General features: G+C 38.3%; 1 protein-coding gene across 4 annotated transcripts in view; it reads left to right on the forward strand.

Annotated features, from left to right (window-relative positions):
* The window catches only part of CLVS1 (clavesin 1), a 536,782-nt gene that overhangs the window by 313,845 nt on the left and 195,245 nt on the right, over window positions 1-27,692 (forward strand). The window contains exons 1-3 of one of the 4 annotated variants that reach the window (XM_017013142.3): window positions 9,278-9,446; window positions 13,626-13,762; window positions 20,985-21,590. In XM_017013142.3, the coding sequence (XP_016868631.1) occupies window positions 21,136-21,590 (455 nt within the window). In that variant the 5' untranslated portion in view covers window positions 9,278-9,446; window positions 13,626-13,762; window positions 20,985-21,135. Of the gene's footprint in view, window positions 1-9,277; window positions 9,447-13,625; window positions 13,763-20,984; window positions 21,591-27,692 lie in introns of those variants that run through there. The other 3 variants (XM_024447079.2, NM_173519.3, XM_017013141.2) reach the window with 3 other exon arrangements.

A 27,692-nucleotide genomic window follows, 5' to 3' on the forward strand; every position in this document is an offset into this window, starting at 1 on the left:
TTGAAATAATTGAAGGTAACTTCTTTCCTCCAATGCACACCCTCCAGTTTAGGGCTGTGCCCTTTAGAATGACTCAGTGGGTCTCCCTCAGAAGAGGTGTTTATCTTGGAATCACTGAGGGTGGCTTTGCCTTGGGACATGAGGATAGTTGTTGCCTTCCTACTCCCATGCTCCTGGGGCCTCTGGGCCGAGCTGGTGGTGAGCACTGGTGCATTGACAGCACAAGCTTGGGACAGAGGCCACAGCAATGGATCAGGCATCCTCACTGACAGGCTGGCACCACCTGCATAGAACCGTTACCAGAGATGGCATGTGGCTGAGAGAGTCATTAGCCATAGTGGGCCAATCAAACTGCAGCTCTAGATTTTAGGGTGTGGGAGCCGGGGCCTCGCCTTTGGACTGACTTAGCTTTTGAGGTATGAATGGAAAAATCTGAGGTATAAAAAGACCTGAAGTGTATATCCCTGCCCCAGCTTTCCTCCTCCTTACAACACAGCTGTGCTTGGTGATGTCATGACAAGCACCTACTCAGAGCTGGCTCTTATTTTGCATCCCAGCTCCAGCTTCCCATCAGGCAGTGAGGCGAAGGCCATTCTTGGCCAGAGGTGTCTTAGTTTTCTCATCTCTCCCAAGTCTTCATGAAAGAACTCTGCCCCTCTCTGCCTCTTGCTTTATATTTTCTTTCCTATTCCCAAAGACCAATTCCCTCTTTTTCTAATGATCTCTCAGAGTACTGACTTGCAAGTTACAAATGTTAAAACCAAACTCTTGTAGTAGCTAAAAAGACCTGCAGTAATAATTCCACAAAATTTGAATAACTGCATTCAAATTTTGCAGAAAGAGGAACTCATAGCAGCTGGAATGCATTCAGACATGATTTGTAGCATTCATTTGCCAAACCATAACTCCCCTCTGATGCCCTATTAAGATATCCACTGAAGCTTTGGGAGGCCAGAAGGATGTAAACTTGAACTACATCACAAGAATGTAATTTGAGATATCAGTGTTATAGGATATACATGTAAGTTGGATGTTTGATTGGCTTAATAATTATTTATGAATACAACTATATAATATGTTAAAATGATTTTAAAACCTAGTAAATATTTTATCCAGTTTCAGAGTCTGAATAAAATTTTTGGTAAGGTTAATGTGAATTCAGAAATAATACTAACTTTGAAATTGATTAATTGTCATTAGGAGAAATGAGACTTCATCTAATATGATAGTATTTGTCATGGAGGTATAAAATTACATGAATAAAAGAGTGTGAACTTTAAATATCTTATTTTAAATAAGATAAAAAATCAGCATAACAAATATTTTCTGTACACATTGTTATTCATATTATTCAAAGCATAGGGGTAAAAGAGTACATTTTTAAATTAGATGGATAGTAAGTAACAAACCTAATTAAATACTCACTTGCTACTGTTTATCTTCTACATTAGATAAATTTGTTCTTTTGGAATTCAAAATGATGTCGAATTTCTGCTGAATCCATTAAAAATCAGGCTACTGATATTTGGTATTGATGAGTTATTTTATCATAAGTTTTATAAATGTTATTAGAAGTTTATGGTAAGTTTTATGAGAAGAAGAGAAAAAGAAGCAACTGGTATTAGCAGGGGAAATGGTGGGAGATGCCATGATAGAACCTGATTACAACAGCACAGGAGCTGACATTGAAATATGACAACTTTTAGTGCTCCAAAAGGCCTGATAGCTCAGTCCTTCTGGGATTCTCATTGTATAATAGAATAGTGGTTCAGAGAATTGACCTTGGAAACAGGCAGATGTGGGTTACAATCCCAGCTGCTCAAATAATTTAGGCATGTTACTTAAACTCTTTATGAATTTACATTGAAATTGAAAAGGAAAATAATTAAAATAGTAAGACCATTAAATATCTGCATTAACATATGTCAATAAAGTATTTTTGTAAAGAAACTAGATATACATTTCCGTGGGCCTTTGCCTTATTCATGGCAACAAAGTCCCTTATTTGTGAATGTAATAGCTCAAGAAAAGAGGAAGTCTTGGGATATTATCATATTCTTCAAAACAACTTTAGCCCTCATAAGTGATCATTAATTATTTTTTTTGTGTATTTTTTGTAGAGATGAGGTCTCACTATGTTGCATCACATGGTCTTGAACTCCTGAGCTCAAGCAATCCACCCACCTAGGCCTCCCAAAGTGCTCAGACTGCAGACCTGAGCCACCACGCTTGGAGATCATTAACTTATTAATGTGCACATACACATCTTCATAGTCTTTTTCCCCAAATGGCATTACATCTCATTTGAGAAATGCATGTACTTTTCAGTGTTGGAGACAATCCTCCTCAAATCTATACTCAGAAACTTGAATTTGCTACATTTATTCTACATAGTTATCCTTTGAGCAGAATCAACAGCATCATTGCAAAAATCTCCAGAAAACTTCAAAGAAATGTAATTTTTCCTTCATTCCTGAAATGAGATATATTGAAAGTCTTCATCAGTTGTTAAGCTGTGTGAGAAGGATGAGTGCAGGGCTGTTCATCACCTAAAGGGTAGGGAAACACATTTGGGGGTATTATGGACTTAATTATGTCCCCCAAATTCATATGCTGAAGCTCTAAACCTCAATGTGATGATACTTGGAAATGGGGCCTCTAAGGAAGTAATTAAGGTTAAATGAGGTCATAAGGGTGGGGCCCTAATGTAATAGGACTGATATCCTCATAAGAAGAGAAAGAGACATTAGGAATGTGCATAAACAGAGAAGACCATGTGAGGACACAGTAAGAAGGTAGCCATCTGCAAAACAAGGAGAGAGCCCTCATTAGAAACCAATCCTGCTGGCACCCTGATCTGAGGCTTCTAACCTCCAGAATTGTTAGAAAATAAATTTATGTTGTTTAAGTCAACAAAGGTAGGGTATTTTGTCGTGGCAACCCTAACACACTAGTACAGAGAGTGCCCTTCCATTTACTGGTTCATCTCTTTCTGTATTTCTGCCGCATTTGCATTTCCTACCTCATCCCACTAAATATCCAAGGCCCTCTTGCTATACTCTGCATCTTCAAGGTATCCACTTATCTCCTGTATCCCAACCTGCCCTTCTGACTCGAGATCATTTTGGACACTCCAGCCACATAAATATACTACTCCTATATCTCAAATCCTAGGAACATGTCCAAGTGACTGGCTTGCCAATTTCAGTCTTAAAAACTGCAAAGATCTTCATATAGCAACAAATAACTAACACGCCATGAAGTTCTGTACACCTTTTGCAATGCCTTTTGAGAAAAGTGCCCATGGGTGTTTCATTATAATCATGTCACCTCCACCATCACCCTAGCCACAACTAATTAGAACAAAGGTTGGTGCTGAGCAAAAGGCTACTAGCAATGGGAGGCCTATTATGCTGCCTATGAAAGCATCTTAACTGAGCGGACTACTCTTCACCTGATAATGACTAAATAAACCAAACAGATTGTGGTTCTAAGAAAGTTTGAATGCAACATACAAAAAGAATCTCAGTAAGTAGAAGACAGAATGGGGAAAGTTGCAGAGCGAAGTGGCAGTAGGCAGAAGGCTTGAGTAGCAGAGGCCATAATTAAGGAGGGATCATGAGGTAGAGGGAAGAAGAGAAGAAGAAGCAGCTGGTAGAAGCAGGGGAAATGGTTGGAGATGCCACAGTAGAACCTGGTTACAAGATCACAGGAGCTGGCATTGAGTTATGACAACTTTTAGTTCTCCAAGAGGCCTGATAGCCTAATCCTTCTGGGATGCAGATAATATAGCAGAACAGTGGGTTGGAGCATTGACCTTGAGAACAAGCGGACATGGATTACAATCCCAGCTGCCCAAATAATTCAGGCATGTTACTTAATTTCTTTATGAGTCAGTTTTCCTGGAAAAATGGGAACAATACAAGTACTCCCTCATGTTAATTGCTGTGAGGATTCAATGCCATATTGCTTGAAAAGTTCTTGCAGTAATGCTTATACATGGGGAAAGATTAATAAGTTTTAGCTATTATTATTACTATAAATTGTGTATCCTTATAATAAGTTCCCATCTGATAAAGTAAATGAAGTATGGATCTATTTCCTGCAACCTGAAAGGGACTAACACATAGTGTGGCTCAGATAATTGAATGAAAAGTTGCAGGAACAAAAAACTTGGGATAGGAAATGGAAACTATAGTACTCTGTTTTCATAGATCTCCAAACACTCCCTGGCTTCATTCCCTCCTACCCAGTGATGCTGTGCAGCAATGAGTGATCAAAATGTCAAGTGCCTTCCATGATATAGTCTGGACAGGAATATTGGATAACGGGGGAAGGAGAGTTCCTCCAGAGGAGTACTGGTCAGATAGAAAACATGTCTTTACTGTAGCAATTCATCTGAGATCCCGCAGCTAAATAAGATTTGAATGAAAATATTCTCTCTCCAACTTCCATGCTCCTTCCTCAGCCTTTCTAATATCAGTTAATGAGCTCTTTTAAGTTATAGAACTGATCATTTTGATAACAGTGGTTATGCCACCCTATTTGGTTCACTGTAGACATTCATTACAGGTTGAATTACTTTACTCTTCCTTTTTGTCAAGAATTTCCAACCTTGAACACTTCCTGCTGTTTGATGCTATGCAATTGTCCTCTGGGATGAGTATCAGTATACAATGATGCAGCATTAGATCTTTGCTTTTAGTCTCTCAATTCTTGCAGAAATATGCTTGAGTTTGTACTTCCTCTTGAAAGTCTACTACACATCAAATACTGCCACCTTTTCCAGCTCCATGCAGTCAAGTAGGACCAAATTTCTTATACTGGTCAATGGGTTATGAGTAGAATGATGTACACCACTTCTAGGAGTGAGTGAGAGTTCTCATGTATACATTTCCCCCACCATGATAGCTTTCAAAATGATAGAACTTTCCTGAGTCTGAATTTGTGGAGTAGAGATCTTCTGTTGCCCTATACCTCATCTCCCTGCCAACAAAGCATTGAACCACTAGCCTGAGAAATTAAACTTCATTGTATCAAGCCTCTGAGATCTTTGGGTTTATTTATTATTGAAGCACAGCCTATCATGTCCTGGAAGTGAAGTGCTGAATTAAAAAATAAATTGTGTAGTGTTGACCTGGTGGTTGGCAACACATGGTTAGGAAGCTGATATCAAAGGTGGGAAACAGCAATTTGTGTTGTGCAGTCATAAAACATTTGGCAAAATGGTCACCTGCAATAACTTAGAAGTAAGTTATTCCAATATATTCCAATATATGGAATCGGCCTAAGTGTAAGTGTTTTTAAAAGTAGTATATATACACAATGGAATACTATTTACCTGTAACAAAGAATGAAATCCTGACATTTGTGGCAACATAGATAAACCTGAAGGACATTATGTTAAGTGACATAAGTCAGATAGAGAAAGAAAAATATCTCATGGTCTCAGTCATCTGTGGAATCTAAAGTGTTGTTGTCATAGAAGTAGAAAGTAGAATAGTGGTTACCACAGGATGGAGAGGGCAGGACAGAGGGAGGGTAATGAGATACTGGCCACAGATACAAAATTACTGTTAGAGAGGATGAATAAGTTCTGGTGTTCCACTGCTATAGCAGAATGACTAGGGTTAACAGTAATGTACTGTATATTTCAAAATAGCTAGAAAAGAGGTTATTGAATGTTCTCATCACAAAGGAAAAAGTAAATGTTTAAGGTGATAAATGTACTAATTACCCTAATTTTGTCATTACACAATGAATATACGTATCAAAACATCATATTGTACCCCATAAATGTATACAACTATTATGTGTCAATCATACAAAAAGATTGTGTACTTAATTCACATTTTTAGTGAGAAGTGGGTAAAGACCAAAGTGTCGGTAGTGTGTCTTGGTTATTACTTGCTGCTTTTGCAAGATAATAAACAAAGAAAAGCCTGGTTATTAAAGTGCAAATAAAGAAGAACAAATATTTCCATAATTCCAAGGTCTTGCCATGTTGGAAAAGCCAATACATTTTGCTCCCAAAAGAAAGAGGTAAAATTAAGTAAGCATTTGAGGCAAAGTCTGTTAAAACTAAATATTTATGCCAAGAATAAGATTAAGGGTGTGACCTTCATGTCTACTTAAAATCTCTCAGTGGTTTAGAATGTCTCAAAGAAGAGATCAGGTAAATGATCTGGCCTTACTACTTACTACTCCAGAGAGACTCACATACATTATGAAAGATATAGAAGTGAAAAAGCAAATAAATATAGCAGATCTAAGCTCTGTGCCTCTAAAGACCTATGGTGTGGCTACTGGAATAGGGAATTGATTAAGTCAGATGGAAGTTGCGCCTCTAAGGTCTTCAGACAGTTATACTTCCAAGGAAACTATGAGATTGGACTAAAAAAAAAGTCTGTGGAGCCTTACAGAATTAAAATAAGCCTTGGACTTCCAATCATCTATGGGAAGAAAGTAGGCCCAAAACTAGCACATCCCCCAGGAATGTGTTTCAAAATATTGTAAAGAATGCCTTATCCTGTTTGTAAATACTTATTTGCAACTGCCTTACTTGGGAAATTGGCTAGATGTGAACTTAATTTGATTTTACACTTTTTAATGTCATTGCAAAGGAAACTGGGCTACTTTGATAAGCATATAGGTCCTTTGCACAGAACAGATTAGAATATAATCATTCAGGAAGTTCCTTTCCTTCACTTACCCTGATTGACATTGTGCTGATGTTTTGCACACTCTGCTTGACCTCCATTTCAGCTCCGCACATGGAAGCTGCCTACATATTTGTTTACCAGGATTCCTCAATGAACCCCTTTGTGCATAAACAGTCAATGACAAGGGTGAAGGCCCGGCCTGCTTATAAGCATCTTTTATGCTGCCTGACCTCGCTCCTGGCACGCCCAACTCAGTACTCACTTCTGTACTCCTTTAAAGGGCACTGTTAATGTTGGGTTTGCTGTGATGTAGGTTTGAGTACAGGGGGAGTGCCTTGTGTGTGTTGACCAGTGACAGGTAAAGACTCTATCCACGTGAGGGTGCACTGAAGTTGAGAGTCCAGGAATAATGGGCTTAATACCCAGAGAAATACCTATATTTATGAAGGAGATGTCAGGATGATTTTACAAGGGTGAAACAGCACATTGTTGAACATGTGACTAGCATGGATGTTTAAGAGCCAAGAAAATGTGTGAGGAATAAGGTCAAATTGTAGAAGGAAGAATATTCTAGTTAACTGGATCATATTTTGTTTTCCCTGTAGTTTTTTTTTTTTTTTTTAGCACATAAGACGCTGTCATTAATATTTCTATGATCTAATGTGCAGGCCATTTTTTTTTTAAGTTTGAGTTTGAATTAGTCAGGATAGGCTAGGTAATGCTAGAAGAACAAATTAACTCTGCAGCCCCAGTGACTTCCCATAACTGTGGCTTCTTCTTTGTTCACAGTGGGAATGGAAATTTGAAATGAAGAGGGGGCTAAGTGAGACTGTGTTCTACTTAGTCACCTGGGGACTAAGTAAGGAATTGTCATAGCCCATGGCCAGAGTAAGCTCATGGCCCTGCCCATATGTAATAGGGCTGGAAAGTGTGGGCAAGCCTCAGGATATTAGATGATCAGCCAATATTTCTGCAATAATCTGCTCCAGTGGTTATCAAAAATATCTTAGCCCCTATGGAGCCATAGAGCATAGAACTTACCACCCATATATCACACCCAACCCATCTCCAAAAATTCCTTCGCTTGCTGCAACCATTTCTCAATTTTGAATCTCTAAGTTTTAGATGGTTGTCTTATTGCTACATCATTTCCAGATGTGGATTCTCTCGTTCTGGGAATGTATAAGCTATGTTGTTCCAGGCATACTTGTAAGTGCTTGGGAAGCAGTAGTGAACAAACACACAAATTATCTGCCACATGGTACTTACATTCCATCAGAGAGAATGACTAAACAAATAAGTAAATATATAATACTATGTTAGAGTTGGAAGAATTCTGATGACTTTAAAGTCTTTGAAATACATGATAGAAAGATTACTTTAAAATATTTAATAAGTTTTCTAACCTTTTAGTAAATGTGAAAACTTTAAGCAAATACAAGTAAGAAAATCAAGTTATCTTGGCAAAAAGAAAATTTACCCATAGTGATCTAACTAATGGGAATGCTGTATTTGATATCTTGCTTTCCTTCACTTAACACTTTGCAAGTATTTCTTTTTTGGCCTTAAACAGTTTTCAAAAATATGTTTTAATAGCTATAAACATTACAGGCTATATAAAAATTAATGCTTTTTTATTTTTTGACAATTTCTATGATCGTAAATGAAATTTATACACATAAATCTTTGCATATCTGAATATATCCCTAGCATAAGGTACGAGAAGTGAAATTACTGGATCTAAATGCCATGTATATTTATGACACTGGATATACATTGTGAAATAGATTTTTAAAAATGTTATGCTTTCTCACTATTATTCCAACAATATAAGACATGCATATTTAAAACTTCAGCCCAAACTGCCATATTAAACTGCATATTTTCATTTACTGGCGAGGTTGATATTAAAAAAATGTGTTTATTATGCATCCCCATTTCTTCTATAAATTCTTTGTCATTTAACATTCCTCCTTTTTTTCTAAAAGGCTGTTAGTGTTTCTCTTATATGTGATACTTTGTGTATGAAACATCTACTTGCTGCAATTTTTTAAAGTGGTAATTTGTATTTACTTTTTTTATATTCTGACATTCAGGAGTGTTTTTATGCACTCAAACTTACCGATCTTTTTCTTTTTTATGTCTTCTATTCCTCTTGTGCTTAGAAAACCTTTCCTATCCTGAGATCGGTAAAATATTTCTGTTCTTCTAGTTATATTTTTAAATTTTATGTTTTTGATAAAAACATCTATGTGTAATTTATTTTGGTGAAAAGACTTTGATTTGAGTCTTTTCAAATAGTTCATTTTCTTAATACCATTTGTTAGTAAAATAATTCCCATAGGTTTGTGATACTTTCTTACCTGTCAAATTTACACACACACACACAGACACACACATCTGCTTTTGCGCTTTCATTAATCCGTTTGAAATATTCTATTTTTAATGTTGTGTGGGGAGTGATGACGCTGGTACTTTTTGTCCCAGATGTTAACAAAATTACAAATAATTATTGGTACGTCTCAACGGAACCAGGGAGGGTTGTGGTACGGAGGCATTTAGGACCCAGGGGAAAGCTAGGCTCCGTATAGAAGGACAGAGAATCGGGCGCACACGCCTCCTACCAAAATCACAGCCCCTTGTGGAGCCCGAGCTCTCATTCACAGCTTTCTAGAGAAATCTGAGCCCGAACCTGCCAGAATAGGGGATCTCACCCACCCAGTTCAGCAGCGAGGACACCTGCAGAAATACATTCCCAAAGCAAGGCTGGGCGGCCGTGTGAAGGTATTTGTTACCTTTTTTCTCCCCTCTGTATTTGCCGAGCCTCCCCGCCTTTCCCCCGCTCTTTCGATGCCATGGCTGCGGCGTTTCAGCACTTCGGTATGTGGACAGCTCCCATCTGCAATCCCTCTGCACTCCATCCCTCCCGCACCGCACCCCGCTCCCCGCCGCCTCCGCGGTCCATCCTCCTCCCGGCGCCCGCTCAGCCTGCGCCCCCTTACACATCAGCACCCCCATCTCCACCATCACCGTCATCATAGCCACCATCACCAGCGCGGTAACTATAGTCACACAACTGTGTCTTGCCACTTAGACAAAGCCCGAGGTCCGCAGGGCAGAGGGAAAGAGCTCAAGTTGACAGGCATAGGAAGGAAAGTTCAGGTGAACAAACCCCTGAAAACAAAGAGAGACGCCTGTTTGCGAGAAAGGGAAAGTGAAGGCAGGAGGGAGAGACCCCAGGCACGGGGACAGATGGGGCACTTGCCAGACACCAGCAGTTAGCCAGCTGCCTTTCAGCAGATTAGGGTCTGTTTAGTTGAGGAAATTAACATGGCCTAGGGCATAATGTGATTCCAGAAAAACAGAAATGTAAGCTCAACCTGTGTTTCTGGTTTTCCAATGGAGAATCACCAGGAAGCAGGGTGGGGGTGACCGATGACTCATATTCACCCACACGTCCGTTTCCTTTCCTAAGTGTTTAATGCAGAAACTCCAGAATTAAGTTTTTTCTTCTTTTTTCACTAAAATGTTTTGTAAAATAGGGACCCTAAAGGTTAACTCTGGCAAGAATAAAAATAAAAATGATGGTAATGATTGTAACTTAAGAAAGGGGGCTCTCATTCGAATGAACTATTTGTTCCAATGTTTCTTCCTGTCTACTTATTTCATTTCTATTTTCCAATCTTAAACCTCTCTTTGAAGCAAAGAAGATAGATCCCTTGCCCAAATGGCAAAAGTAGTAATGATATTCAGACCAGATGGCCTTGCTTTGTTTGTCACCAGTCAAGGACTGGCTCAGATTTGGAAGGCGAGATTTTTGTGTGCTTTCTCAGTAATCAGGTGATAACACCATTTTCCTATAATAGTAAAGGGTAATAGAATGCAAAAATTGAAAAGGCATTTTATGTAACTCCATTCTGCCAGGCTCTGCTTTTAGAGTGCTATCATTTTCTATCTCAGCTGAAGGGAAGTTGGAACACCTTTCAAATGTCTGATTAATTTGAACCTGAAAGTCTAAGCCCAAGTCATAGTCCCTATTTGATTTAGCCAGGATTATCTGTTTTATAAGAGCTAACAAGCACCAGAAAATAAGTGCCTGAGCCTGTCATCAATAAAAATGTCTTGCTGGGTGTTCATTTAATTGATTTTTACTGAACAGTAAAGCATTGGGATTTTTTGACAAGTTATTTTCTTATGAAATTAACATCTTAATTAAAAACGAGATTATTTAAATGGGAATAATAGGTCACACATGATAAGAAAGTTTAAACCAGAGCACAGAAAAGCTTGATTTTAAAATTGTCGTTGTGTATTTATTCTGCCTCTTAAAGACATTGCAGCACGTTTCATCTAAACCAGCTTGCTCACCATTAGAGGCATTGTCGAAAATAAAGACAGTCACAAATATGTATCTTGCGGAAGAAGTTCTGAGGAAAATTCATACTTAAGTCTCTTTGAGAATGAGAAATAGTCGCATTGTGTCAAAAGTTAATTACTGCCACTAATTATATAGACATAATTCCACCTGCCTCTAAAATTCATTCACTTTTGGATCCCAAGCAAGAAAACTAGTAAAATATGTGGTGAAATGGATTTTATAGAAGAAAATTTGGTCATCCACATAATGTCCTTGGCTTGGTAATATCCACAGTAACCAAGACCTCTTAAAAGTCCCTGAGAAAGGAGATTCTTAAAACTCCCTTTTCTGTCTGTAAAGAATGGTTCAGCTCAGAAAATTTTTAAGAGTGTACATATTGCCAATTCTAGCTGCTTCACACCAGAAACGCAGTCCAGGAATCCAGTGCCTCTAGAGCTTCTGTCTTCCTCTGCTTAATACAATCTCCTGGGGCTGGGGAAATTTTAAAACATGCTGCTTCAGTGAGATTTACAGGCATCTGTCTGTAAGCAATGACTTTTCTTGACTGAAATGTTATGCTGAGCTTATTAATTTTTATAGAATGATGTATCCTGGCTTCCTTACTTAAATCTTTTCTATTGAGAGCTATTTTGCCTTTAAAAAATATTTTCAGTAACAGAAATTACTCATTTTTATAATGGATTTAAAGGTGAAGAGAAAATGTTTTCCAGCCGAGTGTCATCATATATTTTTGTAGACATGCTCATAGAAGAGTGCATCATTTTAGAATCATGGAGTAGACAGCTGGAAGGTCTTTCATTTCCCAAAAGGCAAAATCTTGAACTTTTCAGAATTGGTAGTGTCTGCTCACTTCTGAAGGTTTTACAAAGAGAGGCACTTTATTATCCCTAAGAAGTCTATTCACAACTTGACGTACTCCCTGATAGCAGAGACTTCCATCCTTAGTAAATGGATCCAGGCTGACTTTGATCTTCTCTACTCTTCCTGTTACACAGTGACTTAGACAGAGGAGGCAGCACAGCAGAATGAGTATACAAAATATGAAGCTTGACTATATGCAATCAGTCCAGAAATATGTCCTCAACATTGCCAAGAGAGACCTTCTTTTCAACCTTCTCCCAAATATTGCTTGTTTTGATTATTGTTAATTTTATCCAGATATCACTGGAATAAAGTTGTTTCAAAAGAAGGTCCACAGTGTGAATTTTGACAAGTCTGCAACCTCTAACTGATGTATGTCTCTTTATTGAAACTTATGCTTAATTGCCAATCTAAGTTTTTCTTAGTTTAAGGGAAGTTTATATTCTTTTGCTTGATTCTTTATGGATTGAAAATGAACTGGCCAAACATCCCCTGCCCCATAAAAAGCTTCCATTTATTGAGATAATAAGTTCATTTTTCTTCCCTAAGTCTGATGCCTCCCATAGCCCTTTATTATACCTTCTCAGGTCAGGTTGCCCTAGGCTCTGTCCCTTTATGCACCTGTTCTGTGACAGGGAGTATCAGAGAAAGTTCCCTGTGTGGTAGGCTAATTTCCTGTGAGCTTTTGTGCTTGATAATTTCTGAGCCAGCAGAAATTTCTCCACATGTGTTTGAGATGATCTGTTCTTGTTTCTAGGATGCTTGTAGCCAAATCTGTTCCTAAATGTTGTGCAGACCACTGATGACTCCTTTTCTATCTATGCTCCTTAAAATAGTATCAAAGGTCTTAGACAAAGTTCCATATATTTGTGTGTCATTTACATAGCTTATTCAATTGTTCATTATTTTATAGTTTTGGAGGAAGTAGGAGAGAAGTTATGGGCCTGGGAATAGCATGTTGTAGGGGGGCGTGTTAAATTACAGGATCTGTACATAAAAACTTCTTAATATGTGGTCAAATTAAAACAAAATAAACAAAACCCATGAGATCTTTCACTCTTTCCTTTTTTCTCTTCTTCCCTCCTCCTTTCCCTCCCTCTCTCTAAATTTCCCTGCCTTCCTCTCTTCCTTCTTTTGTGGTTGATATATAGAGCATGCAAACATAGTGAGAGTAATTAACAGGGTGATCTGATAAACTATTATGAGTGCCATTGCTCCATAGGTAAAGAACACATTGTGGGTACTTTTATGTTCCTCCTGGACAGTGCATTAGGGCTGTCCACAGACAGCATGAGTTCTAGCCTCAGAGGCAATTAACCTACCTCTCAACCCCTCTGGGTCGTTATAAATCCTCTGGACCAGCTTTTCTCAAACATTAATTTGCATACAAATTGCCTGGGGATTCTGTTACCTGTTCAGTAGGTCTAAGTGAGTCCTGACATGCTGTGTCACTAACAAGGTCCTGGGTTCTGCTGCCACTGCTGATGCATGGACCACCCTTTGAGAAGCCAGGGCAAAGAAAAGTTTTTTTTTTTTTAATATTCTCACTTTTACGTCTGACTATTAAATAATAAGACCCATTCTAAAATGAAACAAAAACCACTCCATGTTCTGAAGAAATAAGAGCTCAGAAATTCTATTTCTAATTGAGGAGAAAGTTATAAAAATAGCCTCTTTCCTCCCACCTCACCCTTAAGCTTGCTGATGTGTTTTACTTTTCCCAGGCAGTTTTCTTAGCTGTGATTCCCACTGCTGCCATTGTCTGTGCAATCACATCCAGAAGAAGGGTCACGGTTACATGGATCTGCTGGGAAAACAATTAGTGGAAAAGGGGGCAAATAGAGTTAATGGCCGTTTTTGGGTGAGTCCTACCTTTCTTATCTCCTTTAGGTCCTCTTCCTTAAAAAAGAGAATCTATTCTTAGAGAAATACTCTTTCCCTTTGAAGACAGAAGGGTCAAGGTTTTTGTTTGTTTGTTTGTTTTCCTTTCTCTTCCCATTGATACCCCTAGGAAGCACAACTAATCTGTTTTAAAAATTGGGGTATCAACTGCCAATGACTTCTTATGGGGATAGTTGAATAGCCTACGAAACATTCCAGTCTAATATTCTATGACTCAACAATTATTTCCCTATATATTAACTTTGTTTAAGATACATTGAGGTGTAAGGTAAATGCTACTTCAATTAAAGACTTTTTCTACCAAACACAGTGAGGAGGAACAAAAATCTCATACTTTATAAGTTGGCATTCCCCTCAACTCCTTGCATTATTTGCCCCAAAGAAAACTGCAAAATGGTTCTAGAATCCTCTGTCACATAGGTCCTTCTTCCCTGAGTTGCAGTCTGTTCTAATTCTGACCTGGCATCTATTTTGGTTACAAAAGTTTTCAGTGTCTCTACTCTGATGGAGCTCATTCCAATCTACTTTTAACATTTCTTGAGAGCAGGACCAAATGGGAGCAAATGATTGTGTGCTTCTTTGCTGTTTTAAAGGGAGCCAAGGGAGTCTACACAATGAGTATTTATGTGGCAAGAGTTAGTCCTAGGCTAGGACTAAGCTAAAGGTGGTGAAAGGTGAACTGTGTAGCATGGGCTAAATTCTGGTCACGTTATGCTTTCAGATAATTCAGAGTCTCCTCTCTATCCTTGTAGACTACTCTCCCTGCCCCTAGTACAGATAGTTTATATCTGTAAGTTGGCTAACATTTAAAGAAAGTCAATGAATTCAGGGTCACTTTTTACCCACAGGTCTGATGTTCCTTAGCCAGTACTCATGCAGAAGTCCTACAAACCATAATGGCCAATCTGAAAATTCATCCATCAGAAAAAAGACTCCTTCTGGTCAGCACCATGGAACATGTAACCAACCAGCCTCTGAGATTTAAATATAGGCTAAATAGGCTGTAAGGGAGTGTATTATCTTTCAAGAAAGATTTCAAATAGAGTTACACTTAAAAAGAAATATTTTTGGTCACTATGATTTTCAGTTTTGGCTTAGATATATCAGCAGCATCTATTTTTATTTCATTCAGTATAAAAATTTCTTTTGGTATTCCTAGGTAAAAATTCATATTCAATTTAAAAATTTGAAGTAAGTTTTTAGCAAGGTAAAGAGCTATAAGGGTTAACCCAATTCAATATATATTAAAAATTTGGAAACAAAAATTCACACATACCAATGGATGAGTTAGTTGGTTAGACTTTCTGTACAAAGTGTTGTCACCGGTATTAATTTTTCATCCTTTTCTTATGAAAGAAACCCACAAAACAAATATGGCTATTGTTTCTTATTTTATATTTGTATTAATTTAAATTTATGTGTACTTAAAAACTGTTCTTTGTATTACTAAGAACACCCAGAAGCCATGCAAATTTGAAGTGTTGTTCAGCAGTTATTGATGTTCTTATATTTCAAATAATATTTAGGCTTTACAGATTTTATCTTTCTGATCATGACAACAATATTCTATTTCCTCCCCAAATTTGGGCAGTTTTACAACACCCCTTAAATGATGTCCTTTAGGACTGACAGGGTGTGGATGTGTGTCTATTATGTGAGTGTAGTTGAGTGTGAGGGCACCGGTACTCAGAGTGATGTTAAACAAGGCACCTACTTGGAGAGCAGAGTCTTGGACAAAACGTGGGTAAAGTAGGTTTGAGTGCAAATCTTTGTTCTTTCAGCCATATCTAAATCTCAGATTCATCTTTTCATCTAATAGTAATAACCTACCTTTAAGGATTGCTGTGGAAATTAGACTATATAATATCAAAGACCTTGGCATCTAATAAGTACTCCATGAATATTTGTTGGTTTTCCAACTTTAAAACAAGCTCATTATCTGACTTAGCTGTTATGTACCCCGAATATTTACCTGGATACAGCATAATTATAATATCAACAAGAATTTACAGTTAAAGTAAAGTAGATCTTTTCCTTTCACAAGCAGTTTTACCAACATTATTTCACAGAATTTTACCTCAGCACTTCCCAGGGAATTATCTTTCTTCTGTCTATTGCAGGATCCCTGTAACAAAGAAAAAAGATAATTGATATAAAATGCTTTGAAATACTACGTACACACATACATATACATATTTTTAGATGAGACATTGCTGATATAATTCTGACCTTTTCCTGATATATTGTATGTGTTTCTGAAGATTATAATAAAATAAATAAATGAGAATAATAGATCATAAAATTACCAAATTGATTTCATTTGAATTATCATAGTTTTCTGAAAATATTTTTATGCTTAAACTCTTTGATTCGTAAGGAATACAGTGTATGTTTGTAGATGTACTTTCCTAATACTAAATTCTGTATGAGGAAATACAAAAGGATTTTTTTCTAATGTAAACTTGAGATGAAATATACAACTAGAATCTACAGATAACATTATTTTAAATATCATAGTATGGATACTCTTCTTTTCTCCCTCTCATACAAAAATACCATTACCTAATTTTCTGGCTCACTGGAAAAGGTGTGGATTGGAGTGAAAGGAGGTATCCTCCACCTTGGCCTTGCCGGAGAATGTTTGTGAATTACTCTCCATGCATTTGAAATGGTGTCAAATACAGAATCATTTGGGACTAAACCACATTGCAGGGAGATGGCCTCTGAGGCTTACATGAATCTGCCTAAACTGGCCTGTTTGATCATCAAGCACATTTCAGTGCTGACACCATGCTTGGCATTCTGCTAGGCATGGCAATCAATCCTTCAAAGAGAATGACAAGATCTGTTATCTTTGATCTGTCATTTCTGCCAAAGGAAAATACCTAAAGGAAGAGCAAAAATTAGTGAATGCTGGAAAAGGCAGAGACAGCTAGATTTTGAACAGCACCAGTCATCTTCCAATGAAGGAAGGAGGAAAAGATGGCAACTGGACATCTGTAAGGCAGAGTATTAGGCCACCCAAGAATATCTGTTCATCCACTGGTATATTTAGGCTCATAGAATGGTAAGTTTGAAAGGAATTTTAGGGAACCAGAGTGAGGTTCTGAAACTTGCAGATGGTCACATAGGTCTTAAATCATAAATAATAAAATCTCTCTGCTACACATAAGAGACAGGGCAGCATAACAGTAAAGAGCATGGGTTCAGAGAAAGATTAGTTTTGGCTGAATCCAGTTTCTGCCTCTTAGTGTCTGTGTAATTTGGGGCAATCATTTAACCTCTCTGTGCCTTAGTTTCCTCATTTGAAAAATGAGGACAATAATATACTCATTTCATACAGTTGTTCTGAGGATTAAATACTGTAGTCTATAAAAAGAGAATCTGCAAATGCCTAGAACATAATAAATACCTATAATAAATAATAAGCACTATTATTATTAATATTGCCAGCACAGAAAACCATTTCCACTTCTTCATGTTGTACAAGTTCAATGTATCCATTTATAATTTGGAAAAGTTGAATGAGAACCAAGTCCTTTATGTGAACAAAAGATTATAGTCAAATGAAAATGCTATATCCTGGTGAACATTCTTCATACAGCCTTTCTAGTGCCTTAAATATTATCAATTGAAGTTGTTATTTAAGTAGCAGTCTATTCAGACTTCTGGTATGAAGAATTTGCCTTTAATGGAAAATATCTATGTTATCCTAAGTTATGAAACCCAGTGACCCTGGCTTAAGCATTCTCCCCAGAAGCTTCTACTGTGTGCTGAGCACAGAATAAAGATATAGATTGAAGCAAATTTATTTCACATATTATAGATTGGAGGCATAGCTATATGTGGAAGCAGGCCATGAAAAATGCAACCTCAACTTTCCTTTTGAACCCATAGTAAATTATCTCAGAAACATTGTTGAGTTCCCTGAACTGTAAGGTAAGTAACTTGCCCCATGCTTTAAATCTTCTGTAGGGAATAAGTCATGCCTGTGCCTTGTGCTTTAAGCACTGTGCTCCATGGCTTGGAACTGTGAACATTACCTGGCATGCTTGCTTTAGGGAGGTGAGAATCTGAAGCACAATGTGCTTAGGCTAAATTCTCCAGGAAAAAAAATACTTTGTAGATGAGGAAGGACATTAATCAATCAGCCACAACATCTCATTTAAGGATAAACTGTCCTGGAGGTACTGAAACACTTATTCACTCATTCAAACATTTTGACTACTTTCTTTATTCATGTATTCTAGGTCTATTTACTGAGCATCTACTTCATCGCAGGCACTGTATGAGGCACTGAGGATGTGGTGGTGAATGCAATGAAGTCGCTCTGCCCATGGAGCTGACTCTTTTGGCCACACCCTGTATCAGGGATACACAGATGAATTAAATCCAGGCCTTCTCTGTAAGGTGTTCTGGATAAAGAGAGAGAAAGGAAAATGGCAGTAGAATATTGTGTGGGACTGCTTTGACTTCTGAAGGCCAGGAAGGGTTTCCTGCGGAAATGAGTTTCAAGTTTACTTCTGAAGGGCAAAGAGGAGTCAATCAGTGGTTATTCTAGACAGAGAGAGTGCAGCTTTTACCAAGGCACACAAAGGTGAGAAGAAGCTGCCGATGGCTGCATGGCCAGACAATAAATCTGGAGAGTAAAGAGACCAGAAGATGAAAGGCCTTGAAATCATGTTACATAGTTTTATACTTTATCCTGGGACAACTAGATGCTAATGATGGATATTAATCAAGGAGTGACATGAGCATATTTCAACTGTAATATAGAGAATAGGTTGAAATGCAGAGAACGGACTGGCAGCAAGCGTATCAATAGGGAGAATGTCACAGGACTAAACAGATGAGTAGTGATGCAGTCTAAACAAAGACGGTGATCATGGGGATGGAAATAACTGGGAAAGTTTGAAAAATATTATGGAAGTGATTGCCTGATAGTGGGCGATAAGAGGGAGAGTGGAATAATAGTTGACTCCCAGGTTTCTAGCGTGGGAAACTGCATGGAAGATGATGTCATTCACTAAAAGACAAAGACGGAGGAGCAAATTCAGGATAAGGAACTATGATTAGTTTAGTTTTGAACAGATCGAGTTTGTGTTGTCTGTGAGTCAAGTAAGTGGAGATGTTCAGTAGGCTGTAGAATGTGCAGTCTGAAGATCTGAAAGGAGCTACGGACTGATGTTGTAGATGGCAGATCATGGGGGCAGGATCTTAGAGAACACTAGCATTGAAGGTGTGAGCACAGAAGGAGAAGATGGAGTAGAGAGGGACAAAGGGCTAGGTGACAAATCAAGGGTAAATGGAGTTACAGAAAAGAATGGTAAAATGGGAGAAGGAGGTCTAAGAAGGATGATGTAATCAACATCAAATATTGAGAAAGCTCACCTACAGTAGCTGCTCACAGCACAGTAGATGCTAAAGTTTGTTTATTGGATGTAGTAACAAAAATGATATCTATTAGTAGAGTGACCATCTGTCTGAGTTTGCTTGGAACCTGTTGTTCTAGTATCGTTATTATTAACACCTTGTAGTGCATAAGTTTGGATAATAAGTTAAATCATCATCCGTGTCATTGATCAGTGTGAATAGTTTCAGCAGCATGTCACAGATAGATTGCAATGAGTGTAGGGAAGAACTGGAGAAGGAAGACATTGGGTAAGGCTGCTTTCTGAAAGGGCTTTTGGAGAAGGAATTTTAACATCAGGTGGGCATTGAGCTAGATAGATTTTGAAACTTCTTACAATTCTGGGAAGAGTTTGTAATACTATTTTCCTTTACTGTTATGAGTCCTCAAAATTAGTGAGAAGTAAGACTCTTCTGTTTCTTAGAGAACATCACAGAGATAAATGCTATTTTCTTACAAGTTATTTTGCAAAGCCGATATTTTATAAATAAAATTATTTTTATTATTCTGTTGTCTTGAAAATGAATACCAGTTACTTTTTTTTATCTCCTCCGTATCCAAAGACATATAAAGTAGAAATATGTGAGATGATTGTCTCTCTTAAGAAATTACTGTTAGTCCTAAATTAAGCAGAGCAATCATCATTTAAGTAATTTTGTATGAGAAAGCATTACCAATAATGATTAGATTGGGAGTAAATATTCTGCCTCTTACTGCAGATAAGATTGACTTAAGAAAGCTAGGAAAAATAAATGCCTCTAAGTTTATTTATATTTAGTGTGTCTTCTGATTTTGGAAACTTCCAGGTTAGACCAAACAGATGTCTGCAAGAGTTTAAGCATTTACATTTAAAATAAGATGGAAACAGTATGGGTGTTCCTCTGTATACCATTTTGGTGGAGAAATCATAAAGGATGTATCTGAGGGGATTAAAATATCATTATCATAAGTAAAACAGCATCTTAGGAAAACAGGCAGGTTATATACAATGGAAGGATTTTTAAGCCCATATGGACATTGGGTTGGGTAGGGAGCCAACCAAGAGTCTCAAGTCCCTCTGCTTTCCTAGTAAAAGAATGGCAAATGCAAATAATAAAGCCATTTGCAAATGTCCCTGTGAGCCTCCTTGCCCATTGTTGAATTTGATTATTGGAGGTCAAGTTTTCAGCCATAGGCCTGTCCCCACCCCCACTCTTCACACATACTGGTGGAGGACTCCTGTGAGTCATGAACACTGGCGGGGTTAAAATAGGGGAAGTATTTTATAGTTAAGATGCAAATGGCTGGCTTTAAGAAAGTGGGGGAAGGGTTATTTCTGTGAAAGATACTTCTGTTTGAGAAAAGAGGCCAATGGGAAGCAAAATTTTACCATAGCTATAATTTCTCTGCCATATCCAGGCCTGTGAGTGGTCCCATAAAGCATGCTGTCACAGAGAAGTATCATTCTCTCCTCTCACTGTTTCTTAAGGTAATTAATAAAAGTGCATGCTATTGCTAATCTGATCAAGCACTATTACGTTAACTAGTCAATGGAACTGAAACGTTCCCAAACATATTTCAAATATTTGCATGTTAGATTTTCAAGTTGTCTATAATCAACTTTTGCTCAATACTCCATTTTAAGGATAATTTATCATTTGTTCTTTGGACACCTAATCTAATCAGACCCACAGCCTAATATACTGTTTTTCTATCTAAGCTCCAATTAATTTGCCCAGACTTTCTTTGTATCATCTCTCTTCTGTTTCTTTTGTGTGTATTTGTTTTTCAGTAAGCAATGGCCTCAGTTTTGCTTCTGTTTTGGATGAACACCACCACATAGGGCCTGAATGTGAAAGAAGACCCTCTATTTGTCTGTTCCGGGGCAGCCTGGTAGTAAAACACTGTTGAATGGGCCACAGTTTCAGCAGACCATCAGGTGAATGGGACCAGTCTCTCTTCTTCCAAAATATCAGAAGTTAAACACTTGGAACGGAGATTTGGCCAAGATGACCCATTTACAGGCTGGACTCAGTCCAGAGACTATAGAGAAAGCTCGCCTGGAACTGAATGAAAACCCCGATGTTTTACATCAGGATATTCAGCAAGTCAGGGACATGATCATCACCAGGCCTGACATTGGATTTTTACGTACAGATGATGCCTTCATCCTGAGATTTCTCCGAGCCAGGAAGTTTCACCAAGCGGATGCCTTTAGACTCCTGGCTCAGTATTTCCAGTACCGCCAGCTAAACCTGGACATGTTCAAAAACTTCAAGGCAGATGATCCCGGCATTAAGAGGGCTCTGATCGATGGGTTCCCCGGGGTGCTGGAAAACCGAGACCATTACGGCAGGAAGATTCTTTTGCTGTTTGCAGCCAATTGGGATCAGAGTAGGTAAATGTAGATAGTGTCTTTACTTGGTTTTTCTTTGCTATAAGCATTATCACTGCATGTTTGGGGTTGTATGGCTTTATATGTAATGGGCTTTCATTAAAAAATATTTCACATGTTCACCAAGGAAGTTTTAGGCCACAGGTGTGCTGTCTTCAAAAGGCAATTCCAGATGGAACAATAGAATTGTAACATTAGAGTTGTAAGAGACCTTAGAAGTCATTATTCTTTTCATCAAAGTGGGTCATTCACTTTAGTAAAATTGAAAGTGGATCTTCTAGAAGAACCATATATTCTGTCTTTGGTGTTCTCATCTTTAATAAGAAAACAAAAATGGAGTTAGTAGATGGCTTAATATCAAGTATTTTCAATGCATAAAATAATTTCTTGGATCCTCTCCATGACTTGAATTACCTCTATTTCTCCTGAGTGCCAGACATTTCTATCCAAATCCCTGCTAGACATTTCTCCCTGAAAGACCTATAAGGGACCCAAAACTTGACCTATCCCAAACTGAAAGCATCATCTTTCTCATTCTACCTGCTCTTTCATCCACCTAGTCTCTCAAGCCAGAAATCCAGGAGCCATCCTTGACTGCCCCTTGCTTTGGTCTTTACATCCAATTAACTTTCAAGTCCTACCACTTTCTTCTTATAAACTTGTGAAATCTCTTCCCTTCTCTTTGCTTCTATTAGTATTGCCTTAGTTTAGGTTCTCATCATTTCTTCTTTCATTGTTGCAACAGCTTCTTAGCTAGTATCTCTGCCTCTAGTCTTATCTCTTCTGAGTCATTCTAGGTTACACCGTAGCCAGGGTGACCCTTCCAAAATTCTGTTACATCACTTCCCTGATTAAAGTTCTTCAATGACCTGCAAAGCTATCGAAATAAAGTAAGGTTCTTATGATCCGCCTTCTGCATTTCCTGCTCTGCTTCATCTTCTGACCTTCTTCACATCCTCTGGTCCAGCTGGTTGGGACTATAAGCCTTGCCTTGAACAGTTAAGCTTTTTAAATACCTCCAACCCTTTGGACTTGACCTGTCAGACACCCAAAGGAGAGACAGCCATCCCCTATCCCAACTCCAATCATCCAACTCCAACAACAAAATTTGCCTACTGATGCATCTTTATGGTCCTGGAGGAAGGTAGTCTTCTTCTACTTCCCTCCCAACCCTGTTTTCTCAGGCGCCCCACCTCTGTTTATGTTTCTACTAATGCAGTTACAATGGAAGTGTAACAGCTACCGTTATCATAGCTAACATTTTGAATATTAATGACAAGCTCTGCTAAGCATAAATATATATTACCTCATTTAACCCACCTGAGAACTTTGCATGGTAGATATTAGTACTATGACCCCTCTTTTACCTTTGATGACATAAGGCTTTTAGAAGTTAAGGAGCTCACTCATGTTACACAACTAGTGAATACGGAGTGGGAGTTGGGCAATGGTAGTCTGATGTGAGAGCCAGTTGTCTTAACCCGACTTCATTGTAATTGTGTGTATACTTTGTGTATTCTTACTCCTCCTCCCACGACTGCAGGTTCCTTGAGGGCAGGAGATCATGCCTTTTTCATGTTTATGTCTTTGGTGCATGGCGCAATATCCAATGAATGTTGAATGAGAAAGAATAATGAATCAATTTCCAAAACATTACCTATGAATTGAGCTTTCACAGAGATATAATCATTAACATTCTTATGTTTCACGGGGAGACATGGGTTTAACCTAAAAATATATCAACCCCCATAACCATTAAAAGGAATTTCTAAAGTGCCTCTTCACTTCCTCATGTCACTACTCTTCCTCTTCAAGATGATAACAGTGTAGGGCAACTTGGTAATCACTGGCTGTTTTGTGGTTGATAATTTGGGGTGGGGCTGTCTAATCTTGGAAAGGTATTTGCATATTTCAACACTATCAGTCTAGAATTTGGTCAGGACTCCACCTGGGCCTGGGCTACCTTTCCGTGTTTCTACTCTGTTATTCTGTAATGATATGGAATAACATATCATATATCATATCATAATTAACATAATTAATGATGAGTCTCTCACTACATTGCTTCACTGATGAGACAGATTTTTAGGTCTTATGATTCATTCATCTTTATCATTCACTCAACATTCAGTGAGTATAGACTTTGTGCCAGAGCTTGTCTTAGGGCACTGAGGACAGCGATGAGAACATACAATCCCTGCCGGTTAGGACCCCATTGTTCAGCTGGATGCTTAGCAATGGTGCAAACATATAGATGGCTCACTCCAACTGCAATAGAATAATTCTTTCTGAGATACACAATTCATTGGTGCAGGACATCAGTGTAAACTAGAGGCAACAGCTGTCCTCCCAAAAATGGCACATTAACATTTTGGATTTTGAAATAGGAAAGTATTGATAATTCTGGAGAATAATTGTATTAGTCCATTCTTGCATTGCTATAAGGAACTACCTGAGACTGGGTAATTTATGAAGGAAAGAGGTTTAATTGACTCACAGTTCTGCAGGCTGTATAGAAAGCATTGCGAGGGAGGCCTCAGGAAACTTATAATCATGGCAGAAGGTGAAGGGGAGGCAGGCACATCTTCACATAGTGGAGCAGGAGAGAGAGAGTGAGGGAAAGGTGCCACACACTTTTAAACGATCAGATCTCCTGAGAATTCTGTCACCAGACAGCACTAGGGTGATGGTGCTTAACCTTTAGAAACCACCCCCTTGATCCAATCACCTCCCACCAGGCCCCACCTCCAAGACTGAGGATTGCAACTCAACATGAGATTTGGTTGGGGACATGGAGCCAAACCATATCAATAATTGTGCTGACTTCATTTATGCTTAGTTGTTTTCAGTGTTCTAGAACTTCCATCTGCTAAGACAGATGAGGTAGAGAACATCAGTAAATGGGGACACACACATAAAGAAATCAGCCATGGTAAAATATTTTATTTTGTGTTAGGATTTGGTCCATGTATATCCCAAAGTATGTTGTTAAGAAGAGGAAACAAATCTCTTAGTAAATAATCCAAATGTTTATGATTATGATAACCTCAAACAAATTACTTCACCTCTCTATTTCTCAATTCTCTCTTGTGTAAAATAAGAAGTTTGAACTATGTAATTCCTGAGATACCTGCCAGCTCTAATGGCTCATGAATGTGAAGCTTATTCAGCCTGATCCTATGGATGGGAAGGGACTTAAAAATTCACTTTATGGTCTCCTAATTCACTAGACTTTTCAAAGTAATCTCTTTTTGCACTCTCCCACTCCACATTTTTCAAACTGTGCAATATTATTTGTCCCAGACCATTATGGTTTTAATAAAAAGGTTGTAATGACAAGGCTATTCCATTGGCAGCCAAATATTCGATGCAAACAAGCCTCCGTTTGAATTTAGATATTGTCATGTTGTTTACTGGTTATATAACTTTCGACAAGCAACCTCCCTGAAACTCAGTTTTCTCATCTGTAAGTTGGGAATGAGAGTGATGTCTATCTAACAGTATGGTTGGGAGGATTGAATGACATAACGCACTGAAAAAACACAGCTTGTTGTTTGATACACGGTAAGCACTCTAGATATTAGCTTCTAGTATTATCACTAATACTATGAAAGATTCTATGTAAAAAGTAATAGAGGACAGATGGTAAAATGAATTGCAACCAGGGGCTGGAGTACAATATTTGAAAATTGGAATGGGGCAATGAATGTGAACTACGGCATGCCCATCCTAAGCACCTGTTTGCTTTCTCCCCATATGTGTTTCCTTTCACACAGACCCAGCCCTGTGGGGCCCAAAAGGCCTGGAAAGGCTGACACAGCTTTGCAAGGAAATGACTTCATTCTCACCAGGGGCCTGAGATGACTGGGAAGTCATTTGAATATCTCATGTGAAGGGTTTACTAAGATTAAAATGGTTATGAATATTTATTAAGACAGTGTAAATCTCATTCATCTGGACCCAGACACATGGACAAAAGCTCAGAACAGTGAGCAATGGGAAACACTATCCCGTGAGGGCTCATGCCAGTCTCTGCCTGCTTGGGTTCAACATGGCAACCGAGGCATAGGCAGTGCCTGGGCTACCTGAGCATAAACTGGCCTTGCCTGGGCATTGGACCTCAGCAGAGAGCTAACTGACTTCTTCATTTTTTGAGGCTGCCAGGCCGAACCAAAACCAGATGGATTCAATCAGCTCGCATGTATTTATACAAAAAATGAACTTGGCCCTCCCAGAGTGAGCAGAGTTTTTATCCCAGCTCCCCAGCTTGGTATGTAACGGAGACCTAGGGGACACTGCTGGTCGATGAGCCCTCTGATTTTTCCCACCTAAACTCGTATCAGCATTGGCAATAATTCACCATTTGCCCCTTTAAGATCTGATGAAAAACAAATTCATTTCTTGCTTCTTTCTAAGCTGCAGGCTTGCACTTGGTCATAAGCCCAGTTTGCCATGAATGCCCCAGTGCTGGAGAAGAAAAACTGAGCATAAAGGGACACATCGGTTTTTTTTCTGGATTTCACTCAGTTAAAAGGAAAAAAAGGTTAAAATTGGTCAAGTAATTTTACTTTTTAGGGTCTCAATTGTATCAAGTGGAAACAGATATCTGGCATATGGGGCTGTTGCAAGAATTAATCACAATTGCCCTTTTTGGTGGTGTCCAAAGGCCAAATAGAAAAGTGATGAAGTGCACAAACTCTGAACCCCGATGGCCAGCTTCCAATCCTGGCTCCTCCTAACCTGCCATGGGGTCTTGAGCAAGTTGCTTAAATCCTTATTACCCTCAGTTTCTCACCTGTACAGTAGGGGTGATGAGGGTCATAGGTGAGTACCAGTTGGTGCTCAGTAAATGGGAATTGTTTCTTAAGAAAAAAAATCAAATCAGGCAAATACCTAGGATACTGGGTCAAAAGATGTACTGTCTTTTGTAATAATTTGTTATTGAGGTAAAATATATATATATATAATTTAATATCTTTTCCATTTTTTAGCGTACAGTTCAGTGGCAGTACCTACGTTTATATTCTTTGTTCCCCCTTCATCCTCCCTTCCCACTCCCCTTCCCCTCTCTGATTAACCACCAATCTACTCTCTATCTTCATGAGATTCACATTTTTACCTCCTGCATGTGAGTGAGAACATGAAATATTTGTCTTTCTGTGCCTGAATTATTTCACGTAACATAATGGCCTTCAGTTCCATCCATGTTGCTGCAAAGGACAGAATTCATTCTTTTTATGGCTGAATAATATTTTGTTGTATGTATATAAACTCTATTTTCTCTTTTTTAACTTTTAAGTTCAGGTACATGTGCAGGTTTGTTACGTAGGTAAACTTGTGTCATGGGGTTTTTTTTGTACAGATTATTTCATCACCCAGGTATTAAGCCTAGTATTCATTAGTTAGTTTTCTTGGCCCTCCCTCCTCCCACTCTCTACCCTCTGAAAGGCCCCAGTGTTTATTGTTCCCCTTTATGTGTCCATGTGTTCTCAACATTTAGCTCTCACTTATGAGTGAGGAAATGTGGTATTTGGTTTTTTGTTCTTGTATTAGTTTGCTAAGGATAATGGCTTCCAGCTCCATCCATGTCCCTGCAAAGGACATTATCTCACTCTTTTTTGTGGCTGCATAGTATTTCATGGTGTATATCCAGTCTATCAGTGATGGGCATCTAGGTTGATTCCATGTCTTTGCTACTGTGAATAGTGCTGCAATGAACATACACGTGCATGTGTCTTTAACAGAATGATTTATATTCCTTCGGGTATATATCCAGTAATAGGATTACTGGGTCAAGTGGTATTTCTGTCTTCAGGTCTTTGAGGAACTGTGACACTGTTTTCCACAATCTTTGAACTAATTTACAGTTTCACCAACAGTGTATAAGCATTCTTTTCTTTCCACAACTTCACCATCATCTGTTATTTTTTGACTTTAATAATAGCCATTCTGACTGGTATGAGATGGTACCTCACTGTGGTTTTGATTTGCATTTCTCTAATGATCAGTGATGTTGAGCCTTTTTTCATACAATTGTTGGCCACATAAATGTCTTCTTTTTAGAGGTGTCTGTTCATGTTCTTGCCCACTTTTCTGTGGGGTTGT

This window comes from Homo sapiens, chromosome 8 (genome assembly GCF_000001405.40).
Source record: "Homo sapiens chromosome 8, GRCh38.p14 Primary Assembly".
Taxonomy (NCBI): Eukaryota; Metazoa; Chordata; class Mammalia; order Primates; family Hominidae; genus Homo; species Homo sapiens.